Genomic DNA, 18814 nt, shown 5'->3' with positions numbered 1-18814 from the left:
ATAAACAATGTTACTTGTTTTATTTTTGTATATTTACTAGTAGCCCTCTATTCCTAGTTTAAGGCAATGTAAGAATGTCTGCTGTGCAATTAAGCCATCTGGTTGGTGGTTTATGCTGTGAACTAGTAAGCAGCATAACTTGAGAGAAATACAGATAAGTAGATAAGTCCTCCAGTTATCTGCATGACTCTTACTTCACATAAACTAGTGTGTCATTTTTAAACTCTTCAACCTTATGGACACTTTAGGGCTTGGATTCTTTGTCAATCTTTGCTTACTTCTACTACTGGATGCCTATTATTTTTTTCCCTGGCATTTTGCTAAATGAGTTTATATCCTATGTGGTTGTGAGTGTTCTAAAACTGAGTTCAGATTAAGGACAATTGACAGAGAGGAGGCCTTGTTTGGGCTCCAAGCTATCTGATTTTAAAATAAAGTGATTAGAAGAGTGTAGTTGTATTAGTCCGTTCTCACATTGCTATGAAGAAATACCTGGGACTGGGTAATTTGTAAAGGAAAGAGGTTTAATTGACTCACAGTTCCACATTGCTGGAGAGGCCTCAGGAAACTTACAATCATGGCAGAACACAAAGGGGAGGCAGGCAACTTCTTCACAGGGCGGCAGGACAGAGTTGAGTGCTGCGAAAGTGGGGAAGAGCCCCTTATAAAACCATTAGATCTCCTGAGAACGAACTCACTATCACAAGAACAGCATGGGGGAACCACCCCCATGATTCGATTACTCCACCTGGTCTCTCCCTTGACACATGAGGATTATTGGGATTACAATTCAAAATGAGATTTGGGTGGGAACGCAAAGCCTAACCATATTAGTAGTGTAGGAAAAGAAAGATTGACAGGCATCAATTAAGAATAACCTCACCTATTCCTTTTGTTTCCAGTGGATGTGAAATTGGCAGGCAGATAAAGCCGCCTGTTTGTTCACTCATGCATATTCCTATCACAGCATTTTTATAATATTGGAATTACAGTCCACTAGATTGCATGATTTGGAGAGTAACACCAATTGGTTTTTGTTAATCATTGTTTTAGGAACGCTTAGATTTCTGAAACTGATATAGGTTCATTTGAAAATAGGTTCAAATTTTGACATATTGTCAAATTTCTACATATAGATCACAGTAATTACCATGTGGGGACTTAAGAATTTTTCTTTGTTGTTATTATCAAGGTAGTATGGCTTCTTTACGAATTAGCGTCACATATAAAAACTCAAAACAATGGTAGATTTGTGAGCAAAATTAGCCATTAGCCACTCTCTTGTATTGACTTTAATAGAAGTTGCAAAAGGGTAATTTTGTTGCTTACACAAAAGCTAATATTCCTTTAGTGACTGCAGCTTTCTATTTCTGGAGTTCACTTATACGGAGCACATTTTTACTGCTTGTATTATTCTTTAGGAAGCTTAAGACAGCCCTTATATTAAACTTTAAATACTCCCTCTCCAAAAGTTTATCCAAGAACTAGAATGGTGAACTTAATCTCTGCAACTTTGCAATTAGTGTATTAACTTAAGTACTATTTTTGGTATCACTGTGCTCTGCAAGTCATCTGGTTAACGTGTTTCCTTTTGTAGAATTTTACCAGAGCATAGCAATTGGAACACAAAATAAACATTAACAGACTTTTCTTTGTGCTTGCGTTTGGTTATAAGGAAAAGTTTTTTTCTTTGCTGCTTTTATCCTTTTAAAAAGTGCTTTTAAAATAAGAGGAATTATGTTTATTTTAAAAGAGCAACATGTCAAGATGCGAATAGATGTGCCTATCCTAATAGATTCTCTAGAAAGATAATGTTTAATTTTTGTAGACGTGTATACTCGAAAAAGGGACAAATCAGGTTCTGTATTTTCAGCTTTTTTTTTTTTTTTTGACAAATACTGGTGGTGTAAATTATCCAGCTGTTCTTCCTTTGTATGGATTTTGTAGTACTCAGAGCGATTTATAGGTCTAGAGTGCAGCTGCTGAAAGTAATTTATTCTCAGTTCTGTATTAAACCCATCATATACAAATGCATTAGCATTCAGTACAGACCTCAAAGGCATAAGATATTTTTTTCCCTTCTGAGTTGTTGTCCTACAAATGTTTGTAGGATATACCAAAACAGCATCAGAAAATTATTGGTTTGATATGCACTTTTAGCAGTGCTGCTTTTAGCATTCCTATTTAGAGTAGTTGAAATCCACTCATTTATTGATATAAAAGGAACAGTCAAAATGAGTCTTCCTGTCAACATTAACAGATTGGTAATACTAGGACTTCAACTTGATCTGCTCATTTGCTGCTCCTGCCATATGTCTACTAATCTGATATGTTCACCATTTCAGAAACTTAATTATTTGCATTTTTTTGGAGGAGCACTTGTTTGGAAATAAGTAAGGGAAATTTTCACATTTACTTTATTTTTTCATTTCTTCTTAAAGACATCTATTCCTCCTTTAGATGGACAGGAGCTATTCTGATTAATAACATAAACAGAGTTTACAGAGCTCAATGCATGTGTTGCTTGCTTATGACTTCTCTAAAACACCTTCACAAAATATTGAATGTTCACAAAATATTGAAGCACATTTGAAATGTACACAGTGCTTGAGAATAATAATCCTCAAAATGTATGTCTAGCTATTTATTCAGAGAATAAGATTTTCTCATTATTATCTATTAATATAAAATAAAACATAGCTTTCATCCTTTCCCTTTTAATCCTTCTCATATACATTTCTGGACTAATTTTTTAAACAATAAATCTAGATAAGCCACTTGTTCATAAAAAATCTTTAATGACTCCAACCTTTCTGTTATATGAATTATAAAAAGGTTAACTTGACTCTCAAGGAGCCCCATGATCTTCTCCCAGACTATTTACTTTATTTATTTTTTACTACTCCCCTGAATCCACCTTATGTTCCAGCCAAAATGAATGATTTTCTGCACTCACATGTGCCATACTGTCCTTCTCTCATGCTTTATGATACTATTTTACTCTTAGATAATTCTCTGTCTGGATTCAGATGTTCAAATCCTATTTCCAATGACCACGGTTCTCTGAATGATAAGGATTTTCCTTTAACCATCTCTTTTGGACATTTTTTTTATTTTTAGTAGTTATTATTGCATGGCTTATATTCCTTGGAAGATTATAAACTCAATTAAAGATTGAGATATTTTAACTTTTATCCCCAACAAAGCCTAGGGCAATGTCATTTGCATATACAATAGCTGTTTAATATTTGTTGTATTTAACTGGAATCTGTTGTTAATAAAATACTGGTTTAACTGAAAATTGAATTCAAAATGTTTAATGGTTGTTGAGAATGCCTCTGAGATGTGCATTGTGCAGTCTAAGTATGGAACTGCATATTAAAAGTAATTTACGCTTTATAATAATTGAAGTTCTTAAAGCACCCAATGTGACCTTATTAAAAAGTCTCATTTTGAAAAACAAAAAAGGCCGTAGAGGGACCCAAAGCTTTTTTGTTTGTTTGTTCAGAGGCTGGGTCTCCCTTTGTTGCCCAGTGAAGTGGTGTGATCATAGCTCCCTGCAGCCTTGAACTCCTGGGCTCATGCAATCCTCCTGCCTTAGTGGCCAAGTAGCTGGCACTACAGGCATGAGCCGCCGCTAACGGCTGATTTTTTATTTATTTATTTAATTTAATTTAATTTAATTTAATTTAATTTAATTTAATTTAATTTATTTTTGTAGAGATGGGAGTCTTTCTATGTTACCTAGTCTGGTATCAAACTCCTGGCGTCAATCAATCCTCCTGCCTTCGCCTCCCAAAATACTGACTTTACAAGCATGAGCCACCATGCTTGGCCACTGTTAAATGATTGATTCTACCAGGAGATAAACCAGTATTGAGTAGTTTATTTCTCATATGAGTTTGTTTTCTGATGATTTGACCCACTATGCCAAAACCAAATTCCACTTATTCACAAATTTCAGTTATTTCAGATTACTCATTTTCTCTTAGAAAATTTTAATTTTTTAAATTTTATCAAATTATTATGTGCTTAACCCCTCTTCACTTCCCAATTATTTTCCAGAGACAACTATTTTTAAATTCTTGGCTCTTTCTTCTGATATTTAACTCAGTATTTGTAAAAGATAAGAGTAAACTACTGTTTTCATTTAATTTTCACTTTTACCAAAATAGTACATATAATAAATCAAATAATGCTATAATAAAAAATAGCTGTCCCATGTTCCAGCCTGTCTCCCAGTTCTCATGCCTCAGAGGCAACTATTTTAAATCTTTTAATTGTTTCTTCTAGTATTTATATTCATATTTCTAAATATCACACAGTATACTGTTTTTCTTGATGTTTCAAGGTTAGATCTTTATAGATTTCCTTTTGAAGAAGATTATAATTTTTGGGAGGCCGAGGTGGGTGGATCACGAGGTCAGAAGATCGAGACAATCCTGGCTAACACGGTGAAACCCCATCTCTACTAAAAAATACAAAAAAATTAGCCAGGCATGGTGGCAGGCACCTGTAGTCTCAGCTACTTGGGAGGCTGAGGCAGGAGGATGGCATGAACCTGGGAGGCAGAGCTTGCAGTGAGCCAAGATCGTGCCACTGCACTCCAGCCTGGGCAACAGAGCGAGACTCCATCTCAAAAACAAAAAAAGAAGATTATAATTTAATTTTCATATCGCTTTTACATGCACACACACACACAGAACTTCTTCCTATCCTTTCAGTAATTTCGTGTTTTTATTTCAGCCAGTATGAAGTGATTATGCTATTATTACTATGTAAATATTTTTTACTCTGAATCACATAGTGTAAAATGGCTACAGTTTGTTCTTATATTTCTTTTCGTTTTATCCAGAGTTAAGAATTGTTTGTGTTTTAATTTCTTCGTTTTCTATGTGCCTACTAATTTGGGTCAGTCTTTTAAAATAAAATCCAAAGCCCTGTCAATGTGATCAAACCTATTGTAATTGTCAGGATAGACCAGATTATCTGAAGTAAAAAAGCATGCCCAGAATTTCAAAAGCTTTCAACAACAAAAGTTTAATTCTATTAAAGTTAATATTATTTTTAATTGATAAATCATAATTGTATTACATTTATAGCATAGAATTTGATGTTTTGGATGTATGTATACAGTGTGGAATGATTAAATCAAATTAATTAACATATCCATTACCTCACTATTTAACTTTTTTCTTGTGGTGATACATTTGAAGTTTACTCTCTTAGTTATTTTGAACTATGCAATATGTTGTTTTTGACTGTAGTCACCCTGCTGTGACATAGATCTTAAAGTGTATTCTTCCTATCTAGCTGAAACTTTGTACCCTTTGAAAAGCAACTCCTCATTTCTGAGTTACTCATCTCCACAAAGTTAATTCCTTATCATGATAGTTACTCACTGTGGGTCAGCTACAGATGTGTCCACATCATCTTCCTTTGAGGATTCAAAATGCTGGAATCTAATATTCAATATTAGATGATATCAATAGTCTAGATTATATCATATTCTAGATTATATCAATATTCTAACTGCTATCTAGAATATTGCCAGTCTTGTGCCAGAGGGGGAAAAATGCCAACCGCATGCTCGCTCTAAGGTTTCGGTGAAACATCACATTCAAACACATTTCATTGCCCAAAGGAAATCAATAGCAAATAGCCAGCCATGGAGGGGACAGGGGAGGATAGCCTCCCCTCTGAGAGGGGTAGAACATATATATTTTTTTTGAACAAAAATACAGTTCACTGCATGCATAAGATGAAGTGTAAGTTGAATTGTTTAGTGTTCTTTCTTGTCTTTTGCTTTTTCATTTTCTGTAGTATCCTGTCCTTATTTTAAGATTGTAATCTTAATCATTTACCTTTCTGAGGATACTGATAAAATTTTTTGATGACTTTTTTCTCTTTCTAGCGTATATCAGCTTCTTCCAGTTTTAATTTTTTTCTCTGTTTATTTTGGTCTCTCTTTTTATTGAAATCTTTCATGAAATGTTTGGTGTTTCTTGGGTGTCAGTCTAGGTTTGAATGAAGCATTAAAAGGCTGATTTGCAGATCTGTTTCTAGGCCTTGTCGATTGATCTGTTTCATTTTGGAATCTCCGGGGTGTTAGGACCTAGCACTTTGCTGGAGAACCTCAAGCTGAGAATAAAGATATTTTTCTCTGCGGCAGGTCAGTTTTTCCAAGGAAGTAATCTTTGATTCCTTATGTGTGTGGAAGATGCCTGGTTTCCAGGTTTTTGCACATGAAGAGATAGAGGCTGAGGAGGAGGCATCTCTTAACTCAACACATGGATGTTTAATTAATCCACTTTTTTTCCTTGCTCTTCACAGTACCTGATGTCTCTGAGTGTTGAGCTACTCCAGTTAAATTTATCCCATGGAAAATGCGGTATTCTCTTGGTGCTTGTATCTAGTGCAGGGAGTAGGAGGGAGGTGTGTGTGGGCATTTTGTACCCCATAGAAACAGACTTTAAACCCCAAACCTCCTTAAGGGTTCTGTGAAGTGAATCAACTCTCTTATCTTTATTCCCCTTTTAAAGTTATAGCTTCCCCTCCCTGCTAAGTAAGTTATCCATCTTTTGTTAGCACCCTCCTTGCAAATATGCTGAAAATCTCATTCAGTTAGGCCTTTTATTTGTTTTGTATGTGTCTATTGCTCTTTCACCATTTTAGGGAAGTCTTGGGGAAAGAGAAGATATAAAAAAAGTATAATCAAGTCATCATAAATCTGTTGATAGAATTTCAAAGTAACGGAATATGAGCCTTCAACTGATCATGGCTGGGACTTTGTGATAGAAGCTATAAGGATGAATGGTTGAGTTTGATTATTTTAAAAGATGGAAATGTGGAGAAAGTTGTCACAGTTCCAGAAATAGGACAGACAAGGACTTATACTAGGTATGGCAAGTAGAACAGATGAGCTGGTGTACAGGGTTTGCCAGGTTGGGAACACAACTTAGAGAGCTTTCAAAGCTAGGTTGCATATTTTGATGTTTTTATAGCATAAGAAAATCCTATTAAAGTAGTGACTGATTTCAAAAATTTACCCTTGATACGAAGTCATTATATCTAATTGTTACCTTCAAAACACTAGAATTGGATTTTTCATAGTCTTTTCTCGATGCCTTCATATTTACTTATTTTGGAAATGGTGAATTACGGCATCATGCAGTGGAAAGTTTATCCAACTGTTGAGCAATTTGGGATGTATATTGTACTTTGTTATTAAGTTACTTTTAGTCCTCAGTAGGTCAATTTTTCGGAGGGTGAACCTCTATCTCTAACATTTCATGAATCTAGGAAGTTATGGTATCTATAATGAGAAGAAGAGAGGAGAAAACAAACACATAAAAGATGAAGCTAGACAGGTGGGAATCTAAATCTAAAATTTGCAGAATAGAGGAATTCCCCAAAGACCAGGCATTTAATGTCTGTTCCAATTTTGTAGCTCTTATGAATTTTGGAAATGTGCTGAGGCTTTGGAGGCAGTGATTTGAATGTGAATCATGTTTATCCTACTTTCTAACTGGGCATGTTACTTACCTCCTTTGAGTCTTAGTTTCCTAACTGTAAATAGGTGAAATAGTACCTCATATAGCTGTTTGGAGATATAGTGAGACAGTATACCTGGAACATAGTAAGCCCTTAATAGTTATTATTATAACTTTGAAAAAATTTAATAGTGAATTTTGCAAAGGGAATCTGAGGCACAAACAACAATGACTTAGGAGTCTGGCAGGCTTTAGTTTGAATCCCACTTCTGGTCCTTCCTACCGCCAGGGCTTTGGACTAGTTACTCACCCTTTCTGAGCTGCTGCTGCTTAAAAATGGGTCTATCTGGATCAAGTATACTAAATGAGATAAAACATGTCAAGTCCCTAACCCATCATGTGTCCTTAATAAACTATAGTATATTATTCATTTTTGATATTTCCTTAATATAAAATATTGTAAAATAATATAACTTCAATGCTAGTTCAAATGTTACCCTTTTTTTTTTAAAGAAACTTTCTTTCAGATACACACACAACAGTAAAAAAGCTGACGTTATCAAACTGCTTTATTGTCTGACACTTTTTTTTATTACAATTCAGTTCCAGTAGCTTTGTGACTTAAATGTAAATTTTATCTCATCAGCATTGCCTCATTTATTGGAATTGAAGTTCTCGTTCCCAGGGGTAGGTGTCCTTTTTGGCTGTGATTTGCTACTTCTTCACCAGCGACAGCAGAATTCTCATTACCCTTGGTCCTGCCAGAAGTGGAAGTGTGTGTAAATCCTCAGAGTGTAGGGTGTGAATCAGTTGGCATTTTATAGAATTTCACATCTGGTACTTCTTCTTTTTTAGTTTGCATATCCTTTCCCTGGCATAGAAGGAAGGGTTAGGAACAACATCCTTACCAAGATGAAGCAGGGAGGCTGGAGAGTGGAAGATCGAGGTCTTCTGGTATCACTTTAAATCCTTTCTTGAGGGATGAGTTGTTTTTCCTTTTTTATAATGAATAGGTGCTTGTAACAAATGATGGCAACCATCTGCCCTTGTTAATATACCCCTTGGACTGTCATATCAAAGGAAAAGATTCTGCACAATTCTTCATGCCACAAATCAACGCATTTGTAGCCTTTTCTCCACCTCTGACTTATATCTCTCAGAACGGGGCAAAGACATACAGGAAAGTTGTTGAAAGTGATGTTTATGATGCCGTAATAAAAAGATCCCAGATCACAATAGTACTAGGTCTGAAATCACTGCAATTCAATCAGGTTATAAACTGGAGTGTTGTTTTGGGCTTCTGGGGATGATGAAGTTGATGGCTGAAACAAGAACTCATTTGTAAAAGAAAGGTACCAGGGCCTTGCAGTGATGATTGACTAGTTTGAATAAATACTCCACCACTGCTTGTTATATTACCTTGGGTTTCTTGCCATCTGGACCTGCTAACCTGTAGAGACTTAGTTTTCTCCAAGTGCTGTGTTATGGCATCAAGTTTTATCCCCTTCTCCCTACTAACTAGTTCCTATACAAGTAAGATGTTAATTACTTGAACTTATACAGTTCTTCCTTTTTAAATATTTTCTCACTGAAGACTGATTGAAAACACCCTGGAGTCTGTCATTTCAGAATGAGCCGTAATTTATTGGAACTCTTGCCTTTGCTGATTAGCGGTGCTATTTTTCACTTCCCCTTTGTGTTATTTTGCATTCTCATTTTTAACATTATTTCTTTGCTTTTGTGAAATAATTTTTTTCCTGACAAGTTTTAAATCAATTTGGGTTTTATATTGTTGTTTAATTTGTTCCCCTTTTTGTCTCTAGCAGGGATTTTTCCCCGCCAAAGATCCACGGACAGCCTTTTGTGAAATCACAGAGGGAGTATGAGCTGTTTTTTAAAAAAACTGTTTAAAGCGGTTTCGGTTTTTATGATTTGTGAAAATACAGACTTCTCTGACATCCACAGATCCTAGACCTCTCACATTCTAGACTGCCTTTGTAGGATACCCTTATGATTTAGTATTCCATCCTGGGGTGCTATTTCTGACTAATATAAGTTGGGGAATCTCATGGTCACTAGTAATAAGCTTTCCTCCCCTTTCAAACTCTGCATTAGTACCTCCAGGGGTCAGCTGCAGAGCCAGTTTATCCTCTTGCGTGGATGTTCTGCTTCATGACTTTTGAAAATAGTCACAGAAAAGTCAAGAAAATCACCCCTTTTGATCCTGCATATAAAATTATTTTTATGATATAGCAGATAATAGGTTGGATGATGTATCTTATTATTTATTGTGGGAACTAAATTACTTGAATGCCAATATAGTATTCATCCTATTATACGTGAAAACTTGTGGCTTATAATAATAATTATGCCTTTTCTCTTCTCTCTTTCTCTTTTCCCATTTATTTTTAGTCTAAAAAGTATCAGATCATTGAAATATTGAATGAGATTGAGCAATTTATATTTAATATTATTGTACAATATTATACCATGCATCATTAAAGTGTATTGAGTATTATATTTAAATGAGATAGTATACATAGAACAGTTCTCAACACATAGTCAGTGCTACATTTGTGTTAGTATTAGTTGATTTTAAAAAACATATCCAACTTATTTGTATAGCAGAACCCTGTGTAGCTACATACATAAAGAAAAAAATCCCCAACATGAACTAGAGGCAGCATCACTGAAAATGAGCCATTTTTCTCTGATTTCTCTTTTCTGAATTGTTTTTCTGGACCAATTACCCCTTGCTGACCATCCTGACTACTATAGTTTTGAGATTTTATAGTAAATAGAGACAATAAAAATATTTTGAATAAATGTGTGTATTTGAAATGACAGCCTCTTTGAGCTATAAAAATGATTTGATTCAGGGAACATCCGTGGATTTTTAAAGTTGCTCTATATTCATAAATCTGGTGATGTTACGCAATGTAGTTCTAAGCCAGAATTAATGAGAAAGCATACCTCTGTTTCCTCCTTACTCTGCTTGATTATGCATTATATAATCAGTTTTCACATTAAGATGCCTTAATTTGTTAGTCATCGCAAAATGCCTCACTCTTGGCAACCACAGTGTTGGTATTTCTGACATAAAGTTTCCCAAATGTTGTTTTTGAAGACCATTCATATATTTTTCACATTTCATGGTTAATTTTAAGACCTTTTAACTCCTTGAACTCAGTTAAATTGCAGGTGGTTTGCTGAGCACTTCTGTCCCTCTTGATTTTAAGGCTTGGCTTTGAATTGGGTTTGGGAAGATTCAGGATACCTTTTGTGTTCATTTGGTAATCTCATTATTTTAACTCATCTGTTTGCTAATTTAAACTGTGTTTGTATGCATAAATAAATAAATAGAGTTGTCAGGGTCAGCCCTAAGCAAATTTTGGAGCACAGGAAACCCTCTGCTTATTAAAAACCAGTCCCCAAGATGACTTATAGACAGGCTGACCACATGAATGACCACTGAGGCTTTCTATCAGAGCACTTGATAACTTCACTTTCTTTTGTCAAAGAAATGGATTTAGCAGTGAAAGTCGCTGGGCGTGGTGGCTCACGCCTGTAATCCTAGCACTTTGGGAGGCCAAGGTGGGTGGATCACCTGAGGTCAGGAGTTCGAGGCCAGCCTGACCAACATGGAGAAACCCCATCTCTACTAAAAATAAAAAAATTAGCCGGGTGTGGTGGCACATGCCTGTAATCCCAGCTACTCAGGAGGCTGAGGCGAGAGAATCGCTTGAACCCAGGAGGCAGAGGTTGCAGTGAGCCGAGATTGAGCCACTGCACTCCAGGCTGGGCAACAAGAGTGAAACTCCACCTCAAAAAAACAAAAAAAAAACAAAAAAACAAAACAAAACAGTGAAAGTCACGTAGCATGTTATGATTCAATGTTATTTATACCTGCAATGCTTGCATTTCAAGGACGGCATTATTGGTAGGACACTTCTTGCCTAATGGTTTGGATCTATAGAAGAATGAATTTCTAGGTGTTGAATGTGAGAGATATTTTGGAGTGAGGAGACTTCCTGGGCACTTAAATAACAGCTACTACATTTTTTTCTGTGTTTAAGGGAGTCCCTAAAATTATTTTGTGGAGAAACTATTTTATATTTGTTGCCAAATTTCTTCATTAGGACTACTTACAAAGAGAAGGCTAATTATAAAGGAACAGCAAATGTCATAGTGTTTTGAATCCTTTTCATACATAAGACTTCCATTCTGCACTGTGGCTACTTTGGGTCCTCTTCCGAGTGTAGCATCTTCTGAGTTTCTGTTCCTCAGAAGCTAGGTTCTTGCCCACTCTTTCCTTCTCCATTATCATGCTGAATGAGAAACACCTAACCTCTGTGGTCCCACTCCCTCCAGATGATGGCTCTTATTTAGGAAACGATGCCGTTATTGGGTTCATTTGTTATTTAGCGCAGCGCTAATGTATATAAAATAAGCTGAGCAAATACATGTTACTTGATTAGTTTATTCTTTAGGGTACTGGCATCTAGTAAAGGACTGCTGAAGAAATTGTGCTTTAATCCAAGGTAATGGATTATACTAACATATAGTATATATGGTATGATAATTATATTTTGATGATGAAACTACATGCCCTAGGCAGAACAGTAGAGGAGGTGTGTTTGGGAAAGGGGCCCTTCCAACACTATCCCAATTACACTTTACAGGAAACTGCCTGTGCTACTTATGAAGCTACTTCATTTGACTAATAGTAGAAAAGAGGCAGAATCAGAGAGCAAGGTCACCTGGTATCCTGCAGCTGAGAAACTGAGAATATGTTTGCCAATTAGGCAAAAACATAGAGGGTCATGGGAGTTAGAAGCAAGGAAGCGGGAACATAAAGTGGCGCAAAAATAGTCATGAAGTAGGCAGCAGGCAGCAACCTCAGGGACGTATATTTTACAGTGTAAGTGCTCTCACATGCATATTATCTTATTATCATCTTTCCAAACTCTCCTTGTGATAAGTATTATTCACTCTGTAAAGTGATCCAAGCTTCTGCGTAAATGATTAGCTCAGGTCTTGTTAACTTACTGGGGAGTAGGTGAGCCAAGATTGTATTCAGCTCTTTTAATGCTAAATGCTTTTTTTTTTATTGTTTGTTTTTGCATTATATAACTTCAGGGTCAGTGTTGAGATTTGATGTTTTAGATTTATGTTCAGAGCTTTAAGGCTGATAAAAAAGATGTTGTAAAGATATGTCTCCAATCTATAAAAATATGGAGAGACAACTAAGAGATACACTTAAAGAGTGATTATCTTGGGTTTCACTCCGCAGAATGGGTTTAGGTTCTGCAGACTGGGAACTTGTGTTGTAGTAGTAAGTAGTTAAAAGCTAAAATGTGAGCATTTAAGATTATGTTTTGGAGAATATAGTTGTCCCTCTGAATCCACTGGTTTCCTATCTGCAGATTCAATCAACTGTGGGTTGAAAATATGTGGGGAAAAAGAGCACAACGCAACAATAAAAATAATAAAAAGAAAAAATATAGTACAACAATTATTTACATAGTAGTTACATTATATTAGGTATTATGTGTAATCTAGAGATGATTTAAAGGATATGAGAGGAGGTGTGTAGGTTTGCTACAAATACTATGCTATTTTATATAAGAGACTTGAGCATCTGAGAATTCTGGTATCAGTGGGGATCCTAGAACCAATGCCCTCTGGTACGAAGGACAAACATATTCTTGAGGGAATATTTGAACACCTTTAATTCTGAAACAATACTTGGCTTGAAAAATAGCATATTTAAATTACATATTGATACAATGAATGTTTTTACACTGAGAAAGTGACTAATTTTTAAGATTCATTCAACCTTTGGGGCTTCAGTTTTCATGGAAAGGGATAGAATAAAGCAGACATCACTTAAGGGTAAAAAAAATCACAGTTGAAAGATAGATCTTATTTTGTGTTCTTACTACAATAAAATAAAATTTTCAAAGTTGTCGGCTAAACAAAGTGCCATGAAAGTTCTCTAGGTGTTCGCTTTTGGAAAACTATAAATTGTTACTTTAAGAAAATTTGGGTATTATGACAAGTACTTTTAAGAAAAATCATTGTGGCCGGGCACTGTGGCTCACACCTGTAATCGCAGCACTTTGGGAGGTCATGGCGAGTGGATTACCTGAGGTCAGGAATTCAAGACCAGCCTGACCAATATGGTGAAACTCCATCTCTACTAAAATTACAAAAATTAGCCAGGTGTGGTGGTGTGCACCTGTAGTCCCAGCTACTCGGGAGGCTGAGGCAGGAGAATTGCTGGAACCTGGGAGGCGGAGGTTGCAATGAACCAAAATCAAGCCACTGCTCTCCAGCCTGGGCAACAGAGTGAGACTCCATCTCAAACAAACAAACAAACAAACAAAGGATAACCATTGTTGAAATGAGCAAGGAAATGCAGATTTTTGAAGAGGGATTGCATATGTAGAAGGAACAAGGAAAGGACTTATCCTTGTTAATCTGAAACCCAGGTGACTGGCAGATTGTCTGACACACACATTAGGCCCTTAATAAATGTTGGGAGTATAAATGATTTCATGAACTCTTGGGCAAGAAGTCAGTTTTGTTAAACTTTGTGATGATGTAAGGAGAGTCTAAACAGCTATTGCTTTTCAGCTTCTGGAAGTCACACCTGAACACTTCATGTTTTTCAGAAAACCTTTCAGATATATTCACAAAAATTTACACAAAACCTCAATTCTTTATTCTATTTTATATTATCTGTAATATTATTTTCCATTATTGTTTTTAATTAAAGAAAAAATTTGGTTTTTCTTATCCAACTTGTCAAAAAAACCAAAACAAAAATGACGCAAGACAAAACAAGACCAAAAAAACATGCACGAAACACTAGTCCACCCGCTGTTTAAGAGAACTTTGTACTTGCGTTTTGTGGAGCAGAGTCAGTGTACTGGAGCATAATTATTATATACAAAATCTCACTAAGTAGAACATTAAAGTTATAAATATAAAAGAAGCACAAGCCAAGAAACACAAGATATCACACTGTAATATTTCCCACATTATATGTAATAAGGCATTCATGTAGGAATATAATTAGAAACAAGAACACTGCTCAGGTATAATGTGAGAAAATTAATGTGGCAATGAAAACATTAGCTTTTGCCTTTCCTAGTTTAAACTGAAATTTGTGCTTTCAGCATTGCACTCTAGGAGTCTTTACATACTTTATTCTCCAGATTACTTTTTGAGTTAGAAAATCACAAACCCTGTCTTTATCTCCCCAAGAGCCTGCTTGTTCTTAAAACAACAGGCTCGGAATTATAGCTATGCAATTATCTCTCACACATTGGTCTTAAATGCCCAGCTGTGTAAACATCACATGATGATTCAAGAAACTATTTAGATAACTATTGTTTGATATTGTTTTATAGTTATAAAATGATTATCTGCTATCAGAATTCTAAAATTATAAACATGTTTATAGCTGGAAACTCGTGAAATGTTTGAATTATGAGTAAGCAAGTGTTTCTATAAGCATAAAATCTTAGCAAAGATGCATTTTTTTATTTAAAGGAAGACATTCATAAACAGAGTTTGCATTTTGCAATTTTAATTTTTTTTATTTAACTAAACTTTTTCTTAACTATTTAAATTGATTTTGTTCTAAAAATTTCACTAAAAAAAGTACCACTGGGTATTTTTAATGTCCATGATACTGAAGTTTTTGCAGTTTTCCTCCCTGTATTGCTGTGCTACCTCCCTTTTTGATCTTAAATGATTTTAATTAAAGCTTAGGGTGAATATTTTATGTTGTGTTCTGTTTATCCTTCCTGGTGGGAAATAAATGTCTAACATCACTCAGAGACTTTTCAAAGCAATGTTAAATTCCCAGATAATTCACTCTAAGAAAATCTAGATCATCCCATCTTATGTCATTTAATCGAATGTAAGGATAAAGAGACTTTAGGGAAAAAGCAGTCATTTTTATTGGGTAATCTTTCAGATAAACCATCTGGTAATGATCAAATTCATGTGTCCCATCATATTATGCAAAAAGGAGCTGAAGCGATGTGGTTTTTATAGTCTATATTGTTCTTTTAATAATGAAAATAAATTTAATGCCCTAATATTTTTGGACATCAAGACAGATCAAAAGAAGGCATTCGGTAAGGCAGTGAAATTATTAAGTAAACAATTCAGACTGAAGCATAATCTTGGTATACAATCAAGATAATAAGACATTGCTTCACTAGCATCAAGAGCAAGCTTCCTAGTTTGGTGAACAATCAATGCAGTTAGAAAAAATGCATTTATGCCAAATTAAAGAAAGAGCAAGGCAAGAGAAAGGTGTGGCAAATAATATTTTCCTAATGGTTTAGCTAATTGTCTTAAATCTCTAAGCTTCAAAGGTCTTAGTGTAATCTAGTCCAGTTTGGTGATAGAGAAAATAATATAATTTAAGGGTCTAAGAATTTTAAAGGAGAGAAATCCTTTTTTTTTTGCTGCTGTTCTTATTGTCTCTTTTATCTGTTATATATACTCTATATCTATTATATTTAAGTGATTATTTCTCTGGTGGTGCTGGTTTTCAGTGGTAAGAATTCACTAAGAAAAAAATCTCATGGTGTATTGCAAGAATTAGAAGAGTGTTTTCTGCTGGTTGATAGCTGAATGACATTAAATAAGCCATTGTTTTCTTAGATTATTAATTTATGTAATGAGCACAATATAATGGGATCAAATGAGAAAATGTATACAAAACTAAAACACTGTGAACCTCTAGGAGAAGGTTTTCAGTTCTTACTGGAAAGTCCGACAGCCTAGCAGTTACACACATGGGCTCTGGAGCTAAAATACTTTGGATTAAATCTCACCTTCACTGCTTATCAGTGTTTTAACTTGAACAGTTAATATGTTTGCATGTCAGTTTCTTTATAAAATGAAGACAATAATTTGCTTCATAGGGTTATTAGAAGGATTAAAGTATTTAATAGCTATAAAGCGGGTATAGCAGTAAGCACCAGTAATAAGCACTATACACAGAGCCAATTAGCGTCTGTGCTTATGTAATACATAGAAGAAACATAGGTCTCAGGATTGTTGGAATCTTAAGTTGTGTAATTTTCCTTCTGCATATTATTTGACTAAGATACAATTAGAGAATTTTGGAGTTGTAATAGATTTTAGAAATTATTGTAGTTTTTTAAATTAATTAATTAATTTATTTATTTATTTATTTATTTTTGAGATGGAGTTTTGCTCTTGTTGCCCAGGCTGGAGTGCAATGGCATTATCTCAGCTCACTGCAACCTCTGCCTCCCTGGTTCAAGTGATTCTCCTGCCTCAGCCCCCTGAGTAGCTGGGATTACAGGTGCACACCGCCATGCCTGGCTAATTTTGTATTTTTAGTAGAGACATGGTTTCTCCCTGTTGGTCAGGCTGGTCTTGAACTCCTGATCTCAGGTGATCCACCTGCCTCAGCCTCCCAAAGTGCTGGGATTACAGTCGTGAGCCACCATGCCCGGCCAGAAATTATTGTGGTTTTATAGCATAGAAACAATCACACAAAAATTTTAGAGTGACACTTCAAAATTTAGGCCTTTCATTTGATAAACAGTCATGCATCATTTACCAATGTAGATACTTGTGAGAAATGCATCATTAGGCGATTTCATTGTAAAACAGCATAGAGTGTACTTATACAAACCTAGAAGGTATAGCCTACTACCCACCTACGTTACATGATACAGCCTGTTGCTACTAGGCTACAAACCTGTACAGCATGTTACTTACTAAATACTACAGGGGATTGTAACACAATGGTGTTTATTTACTTAAGCATATCTAAACATAGAAAAGGTAAAAATATACGACATTACGATCTTACAGGACCACCATTGTATATGTGGTTTGTCGTTGACTAAAATGTTATTTTGTTGTACATGATGATATTAGAATAGTGAGCTTGAGAGACCTGTTAATAGAAGTAGCATTACATTGGGCTCAGAGTATAGATTTAGATCAGAAAGACCTAGGTTCCAGTGCCATCTGTAGTAGCAATCCTATTACCTTGGATGAGTTATGATCCTTCTGTGTTTCTGTTATTGTCAATAAGAATGGTGATAATGATTCCCACTTCACAGGGAAGGGAAAATACCTTGAACCTTACCATCTATATAGCAGACACTTGATACATGTTAGTTTTTATTTATCCCTCTCTCTTACTTCTTCCTCTTTTCTTTTTTTAGGGGGCTTTTCTTAGCTGCAATTTGTTCATGTTTCTAATTAATTTATAAGTCACTGCATAGTTTGAACTAAAGTGAGTCTCGGGGGCCACTTTGGGGCATTTCTTTTATGAGCCCAACTTTGAATGTCTTCTTTTTTCTGCCAGTATTTTCCATATGAAAGGTAGCAAGATGGTAAATCCTGAAAAGGACAACAGAGGAACTTGTAAATATTTAGAGCATATAGTTGAAAATAAATTGGTAAGAAAGGAAAACTGTATTGCAGTTTAAATAATCTCTCTCTCTATGCATGAATCATAGAAGGAAGGGAAAGCACCTAGAATACTGCCGTTTATATAGTGGACACACAGTACATATTTTTCGTAGTTCATTCCTGGTATACTGGATCCTGAGTCTGAATAGCCAGTCAGGAAGGAACTATGGGTATTTGAGTGGCCCTCATATTGCATTACCTTCTGGGCCTCCTGGGCCCATAAAACCCAGAATTTGGCCTTGGTATTGTGCTTTGTTCTGCCAGTCATGGTTCATCATCACCATCGTTTTTCATTTATGATTTCCTTTGGTGTTGCTGCATTGGAGGAAACTGCAGGGAACAGCTACAATCTCCCATGGTATTGGCATTGCCGGTTACCTCCTGACTCTGCATTCTCTACTCCCAACAGTTGAATCCCCTGATGGCCTCCATTATATACTTATGCCATTCCCAGGACTTGACTTAAGTGTAGGAGAGGGAAAGAGAGAGAGAGAACATTTAAATCATCTCGCTCATCTCCCACATCCTAGTCTTTGAACTATAGATTAACCCCTTGTAGCCCTATTTAACTCTCCACATTTTCCTTGTATCTTTCTACTTGCATGGTCTAAAAATATAGTAATTTCCCTTTATCTGAGGTTTCAGTTACCCACAGTCAACTGTGATCTGAAAATATTAAATGAAAAATCTAGAAATAAATAATTTGTGAGTTTTGAATTAAACATTGTTCTGCATAACATTTTGAAATCTTGTGCTCTCTTGCTCAGTCCTGCTGAGATGTGAATGATCTTTTCCTCTAGCACATCTATGCTGTATACTACTTGCCCGTTAGTCAC

The 18814-nt window shown here is 35.5% G+C and overlaps 1 protein-coding gene across 8 annotated transcripts in view, besides 2 other annotated features; it reads left to right on the top strand.

The window, feature by feature from the left end:
* Positions 1 to 18814, top strand: part of CTNNA3 (catenin alpha 3) — a 1851072-nt gene that overhangs the window by 491574 nt on the left and 1340684 nt on the right. The gene's annotated exons all lie outside the window — the stretch shown is intronic.
* Positions 4918 to 5087: an enhancer, noted in NCBI's record as "experimental_15623 CRE fragment used in MPRA reporter constructs". NCBI's record gives its function as "activates a minimal promoter by MPRAs in K562 erythroleukemia cells, with activity observed for both the introgressed and non-introgressed 10:69026777 variant alleles {active_cell/tissue: K562}" and the evidence as "EXISTENCE:reporter gene assay evidence [ECO:0000049][PMID:34662402]".
* Positions 6811 to 6980: an enhancer, noted in NCBI's record as "experimental_15618 CRE fragment used in MPRA reporter constructs". NCBI's record gives its function as "activates a minimal promoter by MPRAs in K562 erythroleukemia cells, with activity observed for both the introgressed and non-introgressed 10:69024884 variant alleles {active_cell/tissue: K562}" and the evidence as "EXISTENCE:reporter gene assay evidence [ECO:0000049][PMID:34662402]".

The sequence above is a fragment of the Homo sapiens genome, chromosome 10 (genome assembly GCF_000001405.40).
Source record: "Homo sapiens chromosome 10, GRCh38.p14 Primary Assembly".
Classification (NCBI taxonomy): domain Eukaryota; kingdom Metazoa; phylum Chordata; class Mammalia; order Primates; family Hominidae; genus Homo; species Homo sapiens.
Note: the sequence above shows the minus strand (reverse complement) of the source record. Positions and strands in the feature narration are given on the sequence as shown.